Below are 21,343 nucleotides of genomic sequence, written 5' to 3' on the forward strand. Positions count from 1 at the left end.
TGGTGCGATCTTGGCTCACTGCAAGCTCTGCCTCCTGGGTTCACACCATTCTCCTGCCTCAGCCTCCCATGTAGCTGGGACTACAGGTGCCCGCCACCACGCCTGGCTAATTTTTTTGTATTTTTAGTAGAGACGGGGTTTCACCGTGTTAGCCAGGATGGTCTCGATCTCCTGACCTCATGATCCTCCCACCTCGGCCTCCCAAAGTGCTGGGATTACAGGCGCGAGCCACCACGCCCGGCCTCATCTAGTATTCTTAAAGCTTCAAGTATTACATTTAAGTTTATATCCATCTTGAGTTGATTTTGTATATGGTGGGAGATAGGGGTCCAGTTTCATTCTTCTGTGAATGGCAATCCAATTTTCCCTTTACCATTTATTGAAAAGAGTGTCCTTTCACCAGTGTATGTTTTTGTCAACTTTGTCAAAGATCAGGTGGCTATAGATATGAAGCTTCATTTCTGGGTTCTGTTTTCTGTTCCACTGATTTATGTTTCTACTTTTATAGCAGTACCATGCTGTTTTGGTTACTATTATAGTATAATTTGATGTCAGGTAATGTGATGTCTCCAGCTTTGTTCTTTTGTTTAGGATTACATTGGCTATTTGGGCTCCTTTAGTTCCATGTAAATTTTAAGATTATTTTTTCTATTTCTGTGAAAAATGACATTGGTATTTTGATGGAGATTGCACTGAATCTGTAGATTGCTTTGGGCAGTATGGTCATTTTAATGATATTAAGTTTTTGATCCATGAGCATGGGATGTTTTTCCATTTGTTTGTGTTCTCTATAGTTTATTTCATCACTGTTTTGTAGTTTTCCTTGTAGAGATCTTTCACCTCTTTGGTTAAATGTATTCCTAGGTACTTTGTTTTTTGTAGCTAAGCTAAATGGCATTGCCTTCTTGATTGGTTCTCAGCTTGATACTAGTGTATAGAAATGCCACCGATTTTTGTATGTTGATTTTATCTACTTAAACATTACCAAATTTGTTTATCAAATCTCAGGGTTTTTTGGGAGGAGTCTTTAGGGTTTTCTCAGTATAAGATTATATCATCAACAAACAGACATAATTTGACTTCCTCTTTTCCAACTTGGATGCCTGTTACTTTTTTTTCTCTTGCCTGATTGCTCTGGCTAGGGCTTCCAGTAATATATTCAATAGGAGTGGTGAAAGTAGGCATCCTTGTTTTGTTTTGGTTCTTAGGAGGAATGCTTTAAACATTTCCCCATTCAGTAGGATGTTGGCTGTGGGTTTGTCATGTATGGCCTTTATTATTTTGAGGTATGTTCCTTTTATAGTGAATCAGATTGTATATTTATTTATTTATTTATTATTTTTTTTTATTTTTTGAGATGGAGTCTTGCTGTGTCATGCAGGCTGGAGTGCAGTGACACAATCTTGGCTCACTGCAACCTCTGCCTCCCGGGTTCAAGGGATTCTCCTGCCTCAGCCTCCCAAGTAACTGGTACTACAGGCATGCACCACCATGCCTGGCTAAATTTTTGTATTTTTAGTAGAGATGGGGTTTTACCATGTTGGCCAGGCTGATGTCGAACTCCTGACCTCAAGTGATCCGCCTGCCTTGGTCTCCCAAAGTGTTGGAATTACAGGTGTGAGCCACTGCACCCAGCCCAGATTTTATTTTGTTAGAATCAAGGATATGTGAATGTGATAGTCTTTATAGAACTGGATTAGCAAGTAAAGGGCAATAAAAACTCTTCAATACTTATTTACTCATTTATGTAATAAACATTAATATGCCTATATATGCAGCAGTGAACAATATAGATATGATGCTTGGCTTGCTTTTTCTTTTTGGCATTTTGATAGACTCCATGGCATTAGGATTTTCCTGGTTCTCTTTTATCTACTTGGTTTTTGACTTACATTTTTTTTCTTGTTTCAGTTTCATGTAGTTCTTCTCTGATCTTGGTTATTTCTTTTCTTCTGCTGGGTTTGGGTTTGGTTTGTTCTTGTTTCTCTAGTACCTTGAGGTGTGACCTTAGATTGCCAATTTGTGCTCTTTCAGACTTTTTGATGTAGTCATTTTATGCTATTAACTTTCCTCTTAATACTGCTTTTGCTGTATCCCAGAGGTTTTGATAGGTTGTGTCACTATTATTGTTCAGTTCAAAGATTTTTTAAATTTCCATCTTGATTTCATTGTTGACCCAGTGATTATTCAGGAGCAGATTATTTAATTTCCCTGTATTTGCATAGTTTTGAGGGTTCCTTTTGGAGTTGATTTCCAGTTTATTTCACTGTAGCAAGAGTACTTGCTGTAATTTTAATTTTCTTAAATTTGTTGAGGCTTGTTTTGTGGCCTACCATATGGTCTATCTTGGAGGATGTTCCATGTGCTGATGAATAGAATTCATAGTCTGCATTTATTGGGTAGAATGTTCTGTAAATTTCTGTTAGATCAATTTTTTTTAGAGTATAGTTTAAGTCCATTGTTTCTTTGTTGACTTTCTGTCTTGATGACCTGTCTAATGCTGTCAGTTGAGTATTGAAGCCCCCTACTACTGTTGCTGTCTGTCTCATTTCTTAGGTCTAGTAGTAACTGTTTTATAAATTTGGGAGCTCCAGTGTTAGGTGCATATATGTTTAGGATTACGATATTTTCCTGTTGGACTAGTCCTATTATTATATAATGTCCCTCTTTGCCTTTTTAAACTGCTATTGCTTTAAGTTTGTTTTGTCTGATACAAGAATAGCTACTCCTGCTTGCTTTTGGTGTCCATTTGCATGGTGTATCTTTTTCCACCCCTTTACCTTAGGTTTATGTGAGTGAGTCCTTAAGTGTCAAGTGAGTCTCTTGAAGACAGCAGATACTTGGTTGGTGAATTCTTATCCATTCTGCCATTCTCTGTCTTTTAAGTGGAGCATTTAAATCATTTACATTCAATGTTAGTGTTGAGATGTGAGGTACTATTCTATTCATTGTGCTATTTGTTGACAGAATATCTTGTGTTTTTTTCTTGTGTTATTGTTTTATAGGTCCTGTGAAATTTATGCTTTAAGGAGATTCTATTTTGGTGTATTTTGAGGATTTGTTTCAAGATTTAGAGCTCCTTTTAGCAGTTCTTTTAGCAGTCAGTAGTGCTGGTTTGGTAATGGCAAATTCTCTCAGCATTTGTTTGAAAAAGACTGTATTTTTCCTTCATTTATGAAGCTCAGTTTCACTGGATACAAAATTCTTGGCTGATAATTGTTTTGTTTAAGGAGGCTAAAGATAGGACCCAATCCTTTCTAGCTTGTAGGGTTTCTGCTGAGAAATCTGCTGTTAATCTGATAGGTTTTCCTTTATAGGTTACCTGATGCTTTTGCCACACAGCTCTTAAGATTCTGTCCTTCATCTTGACTTTAGATAACCTGATGACTATGTGCCAAGGCAATGATCTTTTTGCGATGAATTTCTCAGGTGTTCTTTGAGCTTTTTGTATTTGGATGTCTAGATCTCTGACAAGGCTGGGGAAGTTTCTCTCGATTATTCCCTCAAATATGTTTTAACAAACTTTCAGATTTCTCTTCTGCTTTGGAAACACCGATTATTCTTAGGCTTGGTCATTTAACGTAATCCCAAACTTCCTGGAGGCTTTGTTCATTTTTTTTTTTTTTTTTTTTTGAGACAGAGTCTCGCTCTGTCACCAGGCTGGAGTGCAGTGATGCGATCTCGGCTTACTGCAACCTCTGCCTCCCAGGTTCAAGTGATTCTTCTACCTCAGCCTCCCGAATAGCTGGGACTACAGTCGCGCGCCACCAAACCCAGCTAATTTTTGTATTTTTAGTAGAGACGGGGTTTCACCAGGTTGGCCAGGATGGCCTCGATTGCTTGACCTCATGATCCGCCTGCCTTGGCCTCCCAAAGTGCTGGGATTACTGGCATGAGCCACTGCACCCAGCAGTGCTGGGTGCATTCATTTTAAAAAATGCTTTCTTCTTTGTTTTTGTTGCCTCGGGTTAATTAGAAAGCCTTTTCTTCATGCTCTGAAGTTTTTTCTTCTACTTATTTGATTCTATTACTGAGACTTTCCAGCACATTTTGCGTTTCTTTAAGTGTGTCCTTCATTTCCAGAAGTTATGATTGTTTTTTATTTATGTTATTTCACTGGAGATTTTCCCATACATATCCTGTATCTTTTTTTTTTTAAGTTAGACTTCACCTTTCTCTGGTGCCTCCTTGATTAGCCTAATAATTGACCTTCTGAATTATTTTTCTGGCAATTCAGAGATTTCATCTTGATTTGGATCCATTGCTGCTAAGCTTTTGAGTGTGATCTTCTGGAGATGTAAAAGAACGTTGTTTTGTCATATTACCAGAATTGTTTTTCTGATTCCTTCTCATTTGGGTAGACTATATCAGAGGGAAGCTCTGGGACTCAAGGGCTGCTGTTCAGATTCTTTTGTTCCTCAGGGTGCTCCCTTGATTTGGTGCTTTTCTCCTTCCCCTAGGGGCTTCCTGAGACATAGGGCTTCCTGGACAAGGGGCTTCCTGAGAGCCAAACTGCAGTAATTGTTATTTCTCTTTTGGATCTAGCCACCCAGTGGAGCTACCAGGCTCCAGGCTGGTACTGGAGAGTGTCTGCAAAGAGTCCTGTGATGTATTCCATCTTCAGGTCTCTCAGCCGTGAATACCAGCACCTGCACCAATGGAGGTAGCAGGGGAGTGAAGTGGACTCTATTAGGGTCCTTGGTTGTATTTTTGTTTAGTGTGCTGGTTGGCCTCCAGCCAGGAGGTGGCACTTTCAAGAGCACATCAGCTGCAGTAGTATAGGGAGATTACAAGCTTGCCCTAGGGTCAGGTGGTGGGCAGGGCCATAGAGCTCTCAAGAGATTATGTTCTTTGTCTTCTGCTACCAGGATTGGTAGAGAAAGACCATCAGGTGGGGCAGGTTAGGCATGTCTGAGCTCAAACTCTGTTTGGGTGGGCCTTGCTGCAGCTGCTGTCGGGGTGAAGGTGTGGTTCCCAGGCCAATGGAGTTATGTTCCTGGGAGGATTATGGCTGCCTCTGCTGCCTGACAGGTCGCCAGGGAAGTGGGGGAAAGCCAGCAGCGATAGGCCTCACCCAGCTTCCACGCAGCCCACAGTCTGAAAGACTGGTTTCACTCCCACTGCGCTTCACCTGTAGCACCGAGTTTATTTCCAGGCAGGCGGTGAGCAGGGATGAGAGCTTGTCCCAGGCTACAAGCCTCCCCACTGAGAAAGCAAGCCGACTCACAGTTACTTGCCTGTCCCACAGAGCCTGCAAGGGCATCCATCTCCTTGAAGGGGTCTTTGGATTCTCTTGGCTTTCCTGATATGTTCCTGCAGTAGTTCTTGGAGCAAAAGTTCACGATGTGAGTGTCTACTAACTGACTACTTTTTAAATCACAACTTAGAATAGCTTATTTACTTTCCTGTATTTCTTGATTTTTCAAGTCCTGGTTTCCTATTTTGACGTTTTGATAATTCATTTTGCCTTGACAAAGCATAAATTACTATTTTATACTCCAGGCTGGAGTGCAATGGCGCGATCTCGCTCACTGCAACCTCTGCCTCCCTGGTTCAAGCAATTCTCCTGCCTCAGCCTCCTGAGTAGCTGGGATTACAAGCGCACACCACCACGCCCAGCTAATTTTTGTATTTTTCATAGAAGTGGGATTTCACCATGTTGGCCAGGCTGGTCTCGAACTCCTAACCTCAGGTGATCCACCTGCCTCGGCCTCCCAAAGTTCTGGGATTACAGGCGTGAGCCACTGTGCCCTGCTACAAAACATAAATTATATGTATGTATCTGTGGTCAGTACTTAGGAGTCCAAACACACATATAAATCTATAGTCAGAAAAAAATGTAAGTTGAGTTCCAGACAGTAGGGAAAAATGATGGATAGGAGGCAGGACTAACTTGCAACTTTCACTCGGACAGACAGAGCAGCGTGTAGAGACCACTTTTTGAATCACAACTTAGAATAGCTTATTTACTTCCCTATATTCCTTGATTTTTCAAGTCCTGGTTTCCTATTTTGACCTTATTTTCTGTTTGTGGACAGTGTTCTGAGACTAATCAAGAACTCTCAGGTTTCTTTTGTTCCTTTTAAAAGAACACACATAATTCTTGAATATATTGTTGTAATAAAATATCCAAGCAATATATGTGTATAAAGATGTGAAAGACCTTCTTTAACCCAAGATTGCTGCAGTTTAATACTGACCTGAGAATTCTTTTTATATGCACATACATACATATAATTTATGTTTTGTCAAGGCAAAATGAGTTATCAATTACTAGGCAGAGTGGAAGCAAAGGACCTAGGTCTCATAGAAACTAGTAAAAAGATCAAGCATACAGTTAGAAATCAAGAGACTCCCTAGAGAAAAATAAAAGGGAAAAATGCAAATATCTTTTTCTTAAGAGAAAAAGAAATTTTGCCACCTTGTTTTGCAGGAACTATCTTGTTTAATTATATTTCTCAATTATGAAATTAGTAATCTTTTAATATAATTACTGGTCATTTATATATTTTTTCTATGAATTGCCTTTTCACATATACTTTTCATTTAAAAAACTGGGTTGTTCATCTCATTGATTTGTAGGAGTTTTCATATTCTGGCTATTAATCCTTTGTTATGTATGTTACAAATGTTTTCTTCTAGTCTGTTGTTTCTCTTTTAATTTTGAACTGGTGTCTTTGGTTTTTGGAATGGGACTGTTACATTTTATCACAAAATTTATTATTTTTTCTTTATGTCTTCTGAGTTTTGAGTTGTGCTTAAAGAGGCCTTTCTCACCTCAATAGTACACACATACATTTTCATCATGATTGTGGAGTACTGGTTTTCAATGCTCCAGGGAACCTGGAGATGGGTAGATGGGAATAGGGCAAGTTTAAATGCCACAAACCTCACTGTTCTTATTGAGACTCAGTCATTTTTCTTGAAGAAATTCCTCGGATAGCTGCAAGCCTTTGGCTTATTTTCAGAGTTTTGAAACAAGTTGGTTCTGATAATTTTTGCCAGAGTTCTCATTGCTTTTATGGAGCAGAGGGTTTCTGGAGGTCCCTTCCTCTGCTATTTTTGTTCACTTGATCAATAATGACTAGTTGAGACCAGGCATGGTGGCTCATGCCTGTAGTCCCAGCACTTTGGGAGGCCAAGGCGGGTGGATCACTTAAGCCCAGGAGTTCGAGACCAGCCTGGGCAACATGGCAAAAATCCATCTCTACAAAAATACAAAGAAATTAGCGGGGCATAGTGGTACGTGTCTGTAGTCCCAGCTACTCAACAGGCTGAGGTGGGAGAATCGCTTGAGCTGGGGAGGCAGAGGTTGCAGTAAGCCGAGATCGTGTGATTGCATTCCAGCCTGGGCTACAGAGAGATACCCTGTCTTTAAAAAAGAAAATTAATTAATTAAAAAAAAGACTAATCGAATGAACAAATAATGCCCAGTTTTTCCTCCTTGACTGTGCTTATCAAAGAACTTAGTAATCATTAGTTTATTATATGATGAATTTCAAGAAAATCTAGTCTGACTATAAATGATTTTCCGTCTGAAATTGATAATGGGAATTGTGTTTTTTTTTTTTTTTGTCAAGGCTAATTAAGGGGTGTAGTGGTCAGGGAGGATATAAATTTAGCAGTTGGACACGGCTTTCAATCTGTTTAATTTTTTTTTCAATTTTTTTTTTATTATTATTATACTTTAAGTTTTAGGGTACATGTGTACAATGTGCAGGTTAGTTACATATGTATACATGTGCCATGCTGGTGTGCTGCACCCATTAACTCGTCATTTAGCATTAGGTATATCTCCTAATGCTGTCCCTCCCCCCTCCCCCCACCCCACAACAGTCCCCAGAGTGTGATGTTCCCCTTCCTGTGTCCATGTGTTCTCATTGTTCAATTCCCATCTATGAGTGAGAACATGCGGTGTTTGGTTTTTTGTCCTTGCGATAGTTTACTGAGAATGATGATTTCCAATTTCATCCATGTCCCTACAAAGGACATGAACTCATCATTTTTTATGGCTGCATAGTATTCCAGGGTGTATATGTGCCACATTTTCTTAATCCAGTCTATCATTGTTGGACATTTGGGTTGGTTCCAGGTCTTTGCTATTGTGAATAGTGCCGCAATAAACAAACATGTGCATGTGTCTTTATAGCAGCATGATTTATAGTCCTTTGGGTATATACCCAGAAATGGGATGGCTGGGTCAAATGGTATTTCTAGTTCTAGATCCCTGAGGAATTGCCACACTGACTTCCACAATGATTGAACTAGTTTACAGTCCCACCAACAGTGTAAAAGTGTTCCTATTTCTCCACATCCTCTCCAGCACCTGTTGTTTCCTGACTTTTTAATGATCGCCATTCTAACTGGTGTGAGATGGTATCTCATTGTGGTTTTGATTTGCATTTCTCTGATGGCCAGTGATTATGAGCATTTTTTCATGTGTCTTTTGGCTGCATAAATGTCTTCTTTTGAGAAGTGTCTGTTCATATCCTTTGCCCACTTTTTGATGGGGTTGTTTATTTTTTTCTTGTAAATTTGTTTGAGTTCATTGTAGATTCTGGATATTAGCCCTTTGTCAGATGAATAGGTTGCGAAAATTTTCTCCCATTTTGTAGTTGCCTGTTCACTCTGATGGTAGTTTCTTTTGCTGTGCAGAAGCTCTTTAGTTTAATTAGATCCTATTTGTCAATTTTGGCTTTTGTTGCCATTGCTTTTGGTGTTTTAGACATGAAGTCCTCGCCCATGCCTATGTCCTGAATGGTAATGCCTAGGTTTTCTTCTAGGGTTTTTATGGTTTTAGGTCTAACGTTTAAGTCTTTAATCCATCTTGAATTAATTTTTATATAAGGTGTAAGGAAGGGATCCAGTTTCAGCTTTCTACAAATGGCTAGCCAGTTTTCCCAGCAATCTGTTTAATTTTTAAGGAAGTTTTTTTTGTGGAAAATTATAATTTATCTGAATATTTTCTTTTTAAAATTAAAAATATACTGAGCTCTCTGATGTGACTCTAAATATTTTAGAAAATGATAAAGTGATTTAGTGTTTAATTTATTTTAGTTAAATTGTTTTAAAATTATAGACTCTGACATTCAAAAGTAGATGTCTTGGGGACCCCCAGATTTGGTTCGCTAGTCAGGGCCATGCTGAATATTTCCTTCTGACTAGGTTCTTTTCAATTCATTTTATGTGCTAAGGATTGTTAACATAAGAATATGAAATTCCTATGGAGAAATAAAAGACCAATGTTTTAACCACTATTATAAAGTTATTTTATATCAGTGGTTTGCTTGTAGATAAATATTTATAAAACCCTGTGCTTATACAAAGTTATTTTCCCTTAGTAGGCTATTGACACAAAATCAACTGCTTTTCCAAGAAAAGCTGTTGATTCTCATGGTATAATAATTTCTTTTTTGCAGCATTCCAGGATGCCTTGAAGATTTTCTGTAGGATAAAAGGTGGTCGAGTTTCAACTGATGACGTGTTTGCTGTTTTGGATAGCATGGGTATCCCTATAAACCGTGAAATTTTAGAAGAAGTGACAAAACATACCTATATTGACAGTGAGTTATTTGCATTGAGATATATATGTCCATATATATGTGCATATATTTATACATTTTTTTCCGGATATCAATTTTGTGATCTGTCCTTTGCTTCTCCTTTTTTCTCTTGATTCTTACCTTTTGCCATTGACACTGTTTACTGGTGTCTATAGTAAGAAATAGTCTAGAAAAATTAAATGAGAGGTTTCTAAAATTGTTATAGTTTGGTATGTTTGGTTAAAGAATAAAATGAATTTTAAAAAATTCAGCCTTACATCTCTTTTCCAAGTCATTTCTGGTCTTTGTGGAGAAGTAGTTTCTTGTAGTATCAAGAGCATTGACTCCACAAGTTAGAAGACCTAAATTTCTTGAATTCTCAATTTTATTATGTAGCTTTGATTAAACAATTTTGCTATGCCCTTCAGTTGCTCTCTGCACAATGTGGATTGCTTTAAACATGATAAAAATATTTAGCAGGTGTTTTGTATTACATGTTTACTTGTAACCAGAGGATGTCCTATCATAATTAGTGATTAATTGATTGATTCATTTGTTTTATTATTGTGGGCGGCAAGCCAACCAGGTGCCGAGGCAAGAGACTGAGGGCACGAGCTGTTCCAGTATAATAAAATATGTAAAATAAGTATAGTTATACTAGATATAGATCTTTGATATGATTATATATGAATATAATTAATCATTAGTTTGTAGCAATTACTCTTTATTTCAATATTATAATAATCCTCGCTCTACAATCATAACCTAGGAAAAATCAGGCCATACAGAGATAGGAGCTGAGGGGACATAGTGAGAAATGACCAGAAGACAGGAGTGTGAGCCTTCTGTTATGCCTGGACAGGGCCACCAGAGGGCTCCTTGGTCTACCGGTAATGCCAGCGTCTGGGAAGATGTCTGTTGCCAAGCAGACCGTGGTCTAGCGGTAGCGTCAGTGTCAAGGAAAAACACCCGCTACTTAGCAGACTGGGAAAGGCAGTCTCCCTTTCCCCGGGGGAGTTTAGAGAAGACTCTACTCCTCCACCTCTTGTGGAGGGCCTGACGGAGGGCCTGACTGATGTCAGGCCTGCCCGCAGTTATCCGGAGGCCTAACCGTCTCCCTGTGGTGTTGTGCTTCAGTGGTCACACTCCTAGTCTGCCTTCATGTTCCATCCTGTACACCTGGCTCTGCCTTTTAGATAGCAGTAGCAAATTAGTGAAAGTACTAAAAGCAGAAATAATGGCGTAAGCTGTCTGTCTGTCTGTCTGTCTCTCTCTGCCTTGGCTGCCAGGCAGGGAAGGGCCCCCTGTCCAGTGGACACGTAACCCATGTGACCTTACCTATCAATGGAGATGGCTCACACTCCTTACCCTGCCCCTTTGTTTTGTATCCAATAAATATCAGCGCAACCTGGCATTCGGGGCCACTACCAGTCTCCGCATCTTGGTGGTAGTGGTACCCCGGGCCCAGCTGTCTTTTCTTTTATCTCTTTGTCTTGTGTCTTTATTTCTACACTCTCTCGTCTCCGCACACGGGGAGAAAACCCACTGACCCTGTGGGGCTGGACCCTACAATTATTTTATTATTTTTAGAGACAGTGTCTCACTCTGTTGCCCAGGCTGTAGTGCGGTGTTGTGATCATAGCTTGCTGTAATATTGACCTCCTAGGCTCAATAATCCTCCCACCTCATCTTCCTGAATAGCTAGGACTATAGGTGTGCACCATCATGCCAGGCTAATTTTTATTTTGTAGAGATGAGGTCTTGCTATGTTTCCTAGGCTGGTCTCAAACTTCTGGAAGCAAGTGATCCTCCTGCCTCAGCCTGCTGAGTAGCTGGAATTACAGGCATGAGCCACTGGGCCCAGCCTGATTCATTCACTTAATGAATCAGATAGTCAGTCATTTAATATCTACTATGCCTGGAACTGTGCTAGGTGATGCAAAGATGAATAAAACACACTTCTTTTTTTTTTTTTTTTGAGGGAGCTCACGTTCAAGTGTGGAAAGAGTCAAGTAAACCGAAAATTAAAATGCTCCATGGCAAATACTATAATAGAGTGTACATAGGCTGCTAATACATACTGGAAGCCTTAGGGAAAGATTATCAGAGGGGCTGATGTCTGAGCTAAATCTTGAAGGATCAGTATGAATTAAGTAGTTGAAGGTGGTAGCAAAGAGTGAGAAAAACATCTTAAGCCAAAGGAACAGTTTGTGTAAATATGGCAGAAAAATAATCAGACATGACATCTTTTTGAGTGGGCTTCCACTAGTTTTTGTCATTTATTAATGGTGGTTTTGTAGTGGGCTTTTGGTTGCTGATATGTGGTCTGGAGATAGAATCAGGCCACATGGAGTTCTCTTAGGAAGTCAGGTATGGTGTGCTCTGGGGTGAGGCATGAGTGGAAGGATATGATGGGGTATGAAAATGTAAAATGGGGATTTTAAAGACTATTCTTAAGCCTTTAGGGCATGCCCTACCAGGAACAACAGAAATCATATATGAAACAGCTGCAGTACCTTGCTTTTTGGCTTATGGAGTTCTGGCCTGGGTCTCCAGGTCTCCTGCTTTATTTGGGGAGGTATATTGGACAAATGATACTAATTTTATAGAATTGTTATAGGAATTAAATATAAACATTTATCACAGTGCTTGGCACCTAGAACAGACAGAAGGGTGAGGCAGAAACCTGAGAGTCATCCTTGGCAACTCTACTTCTCTATTCCTCATGCAATAGTTCCCTTATTTAAAGTCTTAGATACATCTTTTTAAAAACTTTTCTCCTTTTTTCTATATATAAGATAGATATCTCTTAAGTCTTTCTATTTCTCTCTCTTTTTTTAACTCCACTCTGTCGCCAGACTGTAGTGCAGTGGTGTGATCTCGGCTCACTGCAACCTCCGACTCCCTGGTTCAAGTGGTTCTCCTGCCTCAGCCTCCGAGTAGCTGGGATTACAGGCACGTGCCACCAAGCCCAGCTAATTTTTGTATTTTTAGTAGAGACAGGGTTTCACCATGTTGGCCAGGATGGTCTCGATCTCCTGACCTTCTGATCCACCTGCCTTGGCCTCCCAAAGTGCTGGGATTACAGACGTGATCTATTTCTCTTTATCTCCCTATCTTAGTCCAAGTTCACATAACCTTTCCTCAGGACCATTGCAGTTCATCCTAACAAGTATACCCCTGTCCACTCTTATGTTCCTTTATACTGCAGCCATAATGATCTTCATTCAAATACGGGTCTGATCATGTTATTCTCCTCATATAAAATCTAATAATACCTCTTGGGATAAATAACTCTTTTAGTGTGGTTTACAGGGCCTTGTGGGTTCTGGCTTTTGCCCAGATCTTCAGCTTTATCTGAGACCATATTCTTCCTTGCTCTCTGTGCCTTCTTAGAGTTTCAACTATATACCATGCCCCTTCTTGCCAAATAGCTGTTGCATGTGTTCATTTCTCTTCCTTGAACCTTTTTCTCCCCTTAGGTAATTCCTACTTACACTTTAGATCCAAACTCAACTGTCTTTTCCTCAGGGATGTTTTCCCAGACCTCTCTGAGTAGGTCAGATTCTCATGTTATACACTCTTATAGCACTATTCGCAATTGAAATTTGTATTTTTGTTTGATTGACATTGATATTTCAAATAAGACTGAGCATCAGGTGAGCAGATATCATGTCTGCTTTAGCTTAATATTGTATCTTCAGTACCTAGCGTGGTGCTTATAGCACATATTAACCGCTCAACAAATATTTGTTGAATGAATGAATAATTCTGATTCCTCATGCCACATCTTCCAATCAGAAAGAACAAAATGTTCTTCATTTTATCATATGAATAAGCTGGCTGTAGTTTGAGGCAAAATTCCTCATAAGGAAGGTCCTTATCTTTTGACCAGGAAAATAATCTTAATAGATATGTTAGATTATGAGAGTTAAAACATACTGAGAAACACCTAGATTGAGCAAAAAGATAAGATAAAGTACTGTACATAAGAAAGCAACAGGAATTTGAAATATAGTAGTGGCTCAGTAGTGGAGGAAGAAGATGGATAGAACCTAAGAGTGAGTGAGGATAGAGTAACCATAGAACTTTAGGACTATAGTATGTAGTTGCTTGCTGTGCTTCTTAAGAACTCCCTTACTCCCATCAATTGCAAATTACCAGTAAAAGTTGGTTATATACAATAGACTTGTATTAGTATTGTTGGTGGGGAGAGTTCAAGGATAAAGACCTATAGGTTCTATGTTCGATCTGCTTGGGGCAGAAAGAGGATTGTACCTGTAGAAGGTAATAATGTGAGTGAGATCAAGAGTCCATGGGAATAGAGAAACAAAGCAAAAATAAAAAGAGCACAAGTGACTCAGGAATCCTCAAATTTTGGTCAAGGTATTGATTTATGTTAGTATATGCTCTGGGGTCTGAGCTATTTTAATATTAAAGGAAACATTAACCCCAGGATGCCAAAAATTTTGGGTCACCCAGGTAGGAGATGTTAATTTTTCTGTAGCAGAATTTTGCAGTAAGGAATAATATAACACAGTCCTGCTAAAAGAAGACATAGCACTGCAGGTACTGTTCCAGCATCTTATTTTTGCATTTGGTATATTGTTGGAGATGATAGGTAGATAATATGTTCATCTTTATAGATGTTTGCAATGAGGGAGAAGGAATTAGCCCCCTGAAATTTTCAGGAAAGTCCAAGGAGGATTTGCTTTATTAAGATATGGCAAGAAGTGCCATATGGAAAATCAGCTGATGGCAGTTCTTAGAGGGTCAGGTATTTTGGTTTCTGAAATACTGTATTGGTATAGCAGTTTTTTTTTTTTTTCTCTCATGGAGGTTAGAGATCTGGAAATTGAACTGGGTGGGAAGTTGTGACTAGTGCAGTTTTTGCTAGAGGAGGCTTTCAATATTGTGGAGCTACCTGAAGATTACAGAAATGTAGTGTTAATGGTCACTTAGCACCTTCAGAGTAACGTTGCCTTGCATATATGACCTTAATAATTAGGATCATTTTTTTCCTCTCACAGTAGGTAGCTGCATTTTCCAGGATGAATTTCCTCCAGAATTATATACCTTAGAGTAGGAGGCTGTTTTGAGCTCCCTTTAGGAAATAAGTGATACCTATGACCATATTGATTGCCTTAGTTTCAACCAGGAATCATTCTTTAAGGTTTTGCTAAGTTAGATAGGGACCAAGATAGTCATTTCAGATTCTCGAACGCGTCTTTGGCCACTAGGGACTATTTAAGTAGGTAATATTTGTTTGGGAGTTTCATAATAGGTGTTTATTATTGCATAGATGCAAGGAATAAATTTGAGCAAGAGCTAATGAATCTGTGAACATGGTTGACTACCATACTCTTATTAGTTGACATTGGACTTCTGTTCAGAGAAAGGAGTTTTCTAAATGAAGAGCAGGTAAAAGCAAGATGGCCTTTTCCACTGGATTAATACATGTATGGTCTAACAGAATACTTTTCAGTGATCAGATTCAAGAGCTTGAGGGTTGAAGCTTTGAGTTGTCTTAGGACTTAAGCCATGATCTAAGAACATGGGACATGGAATCAATCTACCACAAGTGCCAGTTACTGGGGAGGTTATGGGAAGTGTTAGAACTATAATCAAAACCAGAATGAGGATAAATACCAAGGAAATAAGAAACCAAAATGTAGGAAGCAATCTCTAATCAGAAGGCAATTTAGCACCAATTTTGTCTAGCATTTCTTTGATTGGTTCAAACACATAGTACTTGCTTTGCAGTGATTTAAAGGCCTGCACCTGAAATACATAGTTTACCAATTTTCAGAGAATCAGAGTGAATCAGGTGGACCCAACACCAAAATGATACTATTCTTTAATTTACATATTTGCTTCTCGTGGCGGCAAGAGGGGCAGGATGGCTGGGCCACTCCCCTTGGCCCTGGTCCTGGCTTGCCCCACCCCGCCGCCATGGCCCAGGATGAGGGTATATATTTGGAGGGGACGTAGGACGCCGGCAGAGAAGGAGCCGGGTGGAGCTGTGGTCCCGCTGAGGAAGCTTTGTAGATACATGCATTGCACCCCTATTTTCACAAAGCTTGGCTATCAGAGCATTATGAACACTAATGACCTTAAACTCAGGTTGTCCAAAGCTGAGCAAGAACACCCACTACGTTTCTGGAATGAGCTTGAAGAAGCCTGACAGGTAGAACTTTATGCAGAGCTCCAGGCCATCGACTTTCAGGAACTGAACTTCTTTTTCCAAAAGGCCATTGAAGGATTTAACCAGTCCTCTCATCAAGAAAAGGTGGATGCGTGAATGGAACCTGTCCCTCGAGAAGTACTGGGCAGTGCTGCAGGGAAGCTAGATCAGCTCCAGGCCTGGGAAAGCAAAGTTTTCCAGATTTCTGAGAACAAAGTCACAGTTGTTCTAGCTGGTGGGCAGGGGACTAGACTCGTTGCATATCCAAAGGGGATGTATGATGTTGGTTTGCCATCCCATAAGACACTTTTTCAGATTCAAGCAGAGCATATCCTGAAGCTACAACAGTTAGCTGAAAAATATTATGGCAACAAATGCATTATTCCATATAATGATCAGTGGCAGAACAGCAGAATCTACAAAGGAGTTCTTCACCAAGCACAAGTACTTTGGTTTAAAAAAAATAGAAAATATAATCTTTTTTTCAGTAAGGAATGCTCCCTGCCATGAGTTTTGATGGGCAAATTATTTTGGAAGAGAAGAACAAAGTTTCTATGGCTCCAGATGAGAATGGTGGTCTTTGTCAGGCTCTTGCAGCCTGGCATATTGTGGAGGATATGGAGCAAAGAGGCATTTGGAACATTCGTGTCTATTGTGTTGACAGTGTATTAGTAAAAGTGGCAGACCCACGGTTCATTGGATTTTGCATTCAGAAAGGAGCAGACTGTGGAGCAAAGGTGGTAGAGAAAACAAACCCTACAGAACTGGTTGGAGTGGTTTGCCGAGTGGATGGATTTTACCAGGTGGTAGAATATAGTGATATTTCCCTGGCAACAGCTCAGAAATGAAGCTCAGATGGATGACTGCTGTTCAATGTGGGGAATATTGCCAACCATTTATTCACTGTACCATTTCTGAGAGATGTTGTCAATGTTTATGAACCTCAGTTGTAGCACCATGTGGCTCAAAAGAAGATTCCTTATGTGGATACCCAACAGCACTTAATTAAGCCAGATAAACCCAGTGGAATAAGTATGGAAAAATTTGTCTTTTCCATAATAAGTATAGAAAAATCTTCTAGTTCACAAAGAAGTCTGTGGTTTATGAAATATTATGGGAAGATGACTTTTCCACACTAAAGAATGCTGACAGTCAGAATGGGAAAGACAACTCTACTACCGCAAGGCACACTTTCATTATTGCTGGGTTCTCAATGCAGGGGTCACTTTATAGATGAAAATGGCTATCATCTTCCAGCAATTTCCCACTTAAAGGATGCCAATGATGTACCAATCCAGTGTGAAATCTCTCCTCTTATCTCTAATGCTGAGGAAGGAATAGAAAGTTATGTGGCAGATATAGAATTCCATGCACCTTTAATCATCGATGAGAATGGAGTTCATGAGCTGGTGAAAAATGGTATATGAACCTGATACCAAGTTCTACCACAACAGGAATAGCTTTTGTTTTTGATAGACCGACTGTGAACCTACAGGACCTCCTGGATGACTGAAGTTTAAATATTCACAGGGTTTTATTTTGCTTGTTGAACCCTTAGAGCTACTGCAAACTTCCCAAGATCTAGATGACTGAACTTCAGATATCATTTTTATTATTCCCAACTCATTGAAGGTCTTATTTATATTTTTCAATTGTGTATTTTTTTCCAAGGCGAGGAAACCATTGGCAATACAAGAAATTTCCTACAGCCGAACTATAGTCAGGATGTTCAACATCACTTTACTTGGAGCTGGAGGCATTTGTTTTTGAAGTTGTGCATAGTAATAATATGTCATTGTAGATGTTGAAAGGTTTCTATGGTACCAAAAGTTTATTTTATCAAACATTCAACTTTTTAAAGGAAATAATTGGACAGTAAAATAAACATATCTTCCTGTTTCTGGAAAACAATAAAAATTTGCTTCTTCCTCTCAGTTTTCACTTATGCATATTATTGAACAGTTGATTTCTTATGAATAGACTGAAGAAAAAACCATCACTATTATAGATAAGTAAATTTTCAGTCTTTTTCATCTTGGATGGCAAGCAAAATCAAATATATGGAGGCAAGAACTATTGGGCAAAGCATTTTCTACCTCTGTGCACAATTGAAATGACATTATTCAAGGTGACTGCATCTGAACACATCCTCAATCATGCATTATCCAAGAAGTAAAATGGTCTTAGGCGGGCAGGGGCAGGAATAATGGGAAGTTATAAGAGTGCTGGACACAGAGAAGGTACAAAGTAAATCGTTGTTTGCTATTCACTATGTAGACATTACATTGTTTTTTAAATCACCTTCTGTATATTTTGTTCAGCCAAAAATAATTTTCAGTGATAAGAAGTAGGTACTTTGCGAGGCATTGGGGAAACAAAGGAAAAACACATCCTCTGTTCTTGAGGAGTTCACAATCTAGAAATGAAGTCAAAAGAGTAAATAAATACCTGTAATAAACTCTAAAAAACATGTAAAATGAAAAAATATCCTGATTAGCATAAGAGCTTAAAACATGACTATTTCTTTTGATGAAAAACTCTTTTATTAAGGAGAAAAGACCATGGTCTTACTCTTATGTTGGGCGTGTACTGAGTTATTAATTCATGATTTCAGATTTTATTCAAGACTTTGTAATAGTTGGCTCTTTGTTCCTACTTGCCACACATTCTGTGTTGTTTTCATATTAGAATAGGATGGCAGATATATCTATGTTCAAAAGTAAATACAGTATTTGAACTTATTCTATTACAGGTAACCACATGGTGGATATTGGGGATATTATATTTACTTTGAATGAGCTACAGGAACAGTATGAGGATGTTTGTAAGTGAGCTCTTGTTGCTATGACAAGTTTTGTTTATAATTAAAGTCTTTACATTAAATCTTAATTTATAAGTTTTATTTTATAAAGGGTTTTGAAAACCTTCTCTGAATAATTTACCCTCTTAAATCAAGGAGATAAAATATAATACTCAAAATGCTATTTACATGTCCTCTTTTTAGAAATGTTTATGCATATTCTTTGCCCAGTTTTTTGTTGTTGTTGTTGTTTGTTTTTTTTTTTTTTTTTTTTGAGGCGGAGTTTTGCTCTTGTTGCCCAGGCTGGAGTGCAGTGGTGCGATCTTGGCTCACTGCAACCTCTGCCTCCTGGGCTCAAGTGATTCTCCTGCCTCAGCCTCCCAAGTAGCTGGGATTACAGGCATATGCCACCATGCCCAGCTAGTTTTGTATTTTTAGTAGAGAGAGGGTTCACCATGTTGGTCAGGCTGGTCTTGAACTCCTGACCTCAGGTGATCCACCTGCCTCAGCCTCCCAGAGTGCTGAGATTACAAGCGTGAGCCACCGCGTCTGGCTCTTTGCCCAGTTTTTAATGGTTGTTTTTTTTTTTTTTTTTTTTTACTGTTGTTTGAATTCCTTGAATTCCTTATAAATTCTGGATATTAATCCCTTCTCAGATGAATAGTTTGCAAATATTTTCTCCCATTCAAGATGTTGTCTCTTCAATCTGTTATTTCTTTGGCTGTGCAGAAGCTTTTTAGTTTAATATAGTCTCATTTGTCTATGTTTGTTTTTGTTGCTGGTGCTTTTGAGATCTTAGTCATAAAATCTTTGCCTAGACCAATGTCCTGTAGACTTCTCCCTATGTTATCATCAAACAGTTTTTTAGTTTCAGGTCTTATGTTTAAGTCTTTAATCCAGCTTGAGTTGTTTTTTGTATATGATGAGAGATAGGGGTTTAGTTTCATTCTTCTGCATATGGTTATCCACTTTTCCCAGCACCATTTATTGAAGAGGGTATCCTTTCCTCAGTGTATATTCTTGACTGCTTTGTTGGCTTTGTTGCTTTGTTGGGTGTAAACCAACAGTTGATCAGTTGGGTGTAAATATGTGACTTTATTTCTGGGTTCTTTATTCTGTTCCATTGCTCTCTGTGTCCATTTTTTTTGAGACAGAGTCACGCTCTGTCACCCAGGCTGGAGTGCAGTGGCGTGATCTCAGCTCACTGCAACCTCTGCGTCCTGGGTTCAAGCGATTCTCCTGCCTCAGCCTCTTGAGTAGCTGGGATTACAGGCATGCATGACCATGCCCGGCTAATATTTGTATTTTTAGTAGGGATGGGGTTTCAACATATTGGTCAGGCTGGTCTTGAACTTCTCACCTCAGGTGATCCACCTGCCTCAGCCTCCCAAAGTGCTGGGATTACAGGTGTGAGCCCCTGTGCCCGGCCTCTGTGTCTATTTTTATACATACTGTTTTGGTTGCTGTATTAGTCTTTTCTCATGCTGCTAATAAAGACATACCCGAGACTGGGTAATTTATAAAGGAAAGACATTTAATTGATTCACAGTTCCACATGGCACTTTATGTCTTTTCTTTGGAGATTTTAATTCATTTACATTCAAGGTAGTTATTGATATGGAAGGATTTTACTACTGCCATTTTGTTAATTGTTTTCTGCTTGTTTCATAGATCCTTTGTTTCCTTATTTTTCTCTTCTTTTGTGACTGATTTTTCTCTGTTGATTTTTTTTTACTTTTTTATCTTTTGTGTATTTACTGTAGGTTTTTGATTTGTGGCTACTCTGAAGCTTACAAAATATCTTGTAGTTATGACAGGCAATTTTAAGCTGATAGCAAGTTAGCTTTGCTTGCATAAACAAACTATGCTTTTACCTCATCTCTCCTTCTGCATTTATAATTTTTGATGTCACAATTTACAGATTTTTATATTGTTTCCCTTAACAAATCATTGTAGCTTTTATTATTTTTAACCTTCATACTATGTAAGTGAAGTGCACACCACCATTATAGTATTAGTGTATTCTGACTTTGACTGTGTACTTACTTTTACCAGTGAGTTTTACACATTTATTTTTTGTGTTACTAAACAGCATCCTTTTCTTTTGGCTTGAAGAACACTTTTTGAAATTTCATGTAAGACAAATATAGGGGATGAACTCTTTCAACTTTTGTCTGGGAAAGTCTTTATCTTCATTTCTGAAGGACAGTTTTTCTAGGTACAGTATTATTGGTTGGCAGTTTATTTCCTTCAGTACTCTGAATATATAGTCCATTCTCTATGGACCCATAAGGTGTCTGCTGAGAAATTTGCTGTCCTTATTGGAACGTATATGTTATTTACTTTTGCTATTTTCAGAATCTCCCTCTTGTTCTTGATATTTAACAGTTTGATTATAATATGTCTTGGTGTAGTCTTGTTTGAATTCATCTGATTAGAGGCATTTGGCCTTCCTGTACCTGGATATTTATATATTTGCCCAAATTTGGATTGTTTTCTGTTCTTCTTTATGTAAGTTTTCTACTCTTTTGTCTTTCTCTTCTCCTTCATAAACTCTTATAACTTGACTATTTTCTCTTTGGATGCTGTCCCATAAATCCTGTAAGCTTTCCCCATTATTTTTCATTCTTTTTATTTTATTCACCGCAGACTATATATTTTCAAATAACTTGTTGTCAGGTTCACAGATTCATTCTTGTGCTTGATCAGTTATGTTGTTGATGTTCTCTATTGTATTTTGCATTTCTTTCATTACACTTTTCAGCTCTTGATTTTTGTTTATTTATTTTCTTTTGTGTAATTTCAGTGTCTCTGTAA

General features: G+C 38.7%; 1 protein-coding gene and 1 pseudogene across 8 annotated transcripts in view, besides 1 other annotated feature; both read left to right on the forward strand.

The window, feature by feature from the left end:
* The window catches only part of EFCAB13 (EF-hand calcium binding domain 13), a 117,358-nt gene that overhangs the window by 28,004 nt on the left and 68,011 nt on the right, over positions 1 to 21,343 (forward strand). For 3 of the 8 annotated variants that reach the window (NM_152347.5, NM_001426586.1, NM_001426585.1), the window contains 2 exons: positions 9,420 to 9,563; positions 18,479 to 18,550. In NM_152347.5, the coding sequence (NP_689560.3) occupies positions 9,420 to 9,563; positions 18,479 to 18,550 (216 nt within the window). Of the gene's footprint in view, positions 1 to 9,419; positions 9,814 to 18,478; positions 18,551 to 21,343 lie in introns of those variants that run through there. The other 5 variants (NM_001426587.1, NM_001195192.2, NM_001426588.1 and 2 more) reach the window with 2 other exon arrangements.
* Positions 10,265 to 10,559: a silencer, noted in NCBI's record as "tiled region #1659; K562 Repressive DNase unmatched - State 12:CtcfO". NCBI's record gives its function as "represses a minimal TATA promoter and a strong SV40 promoter by Sharpr-MPRA in K562 cells {active_cell/tissue: K562}" and the evidence as "EXISTENCE:reporter gene assay evidence [ECO:0000049][PMID:27701403]".
* LOC100421523 (UDP-N-acetylglucosamine pyrophosphorylase 1 pseudogene) lies at positions 15,584 to 17,450 on the forward strand (annotated as a pseudogene).

This window comes from Homo sapiens, chromosome 17 (genome assembly GCF_000001405.40).
Source record: "Homo sapiens chromosome 17, GRCh38.p14 Primary Assembly".
In the NCBI taxonomy this organism is placed as follows: Eukaryota; Metazoa; Chordata; class Mammalia; order Primates; family Hominidae; genus Homo; species Homo sapiens.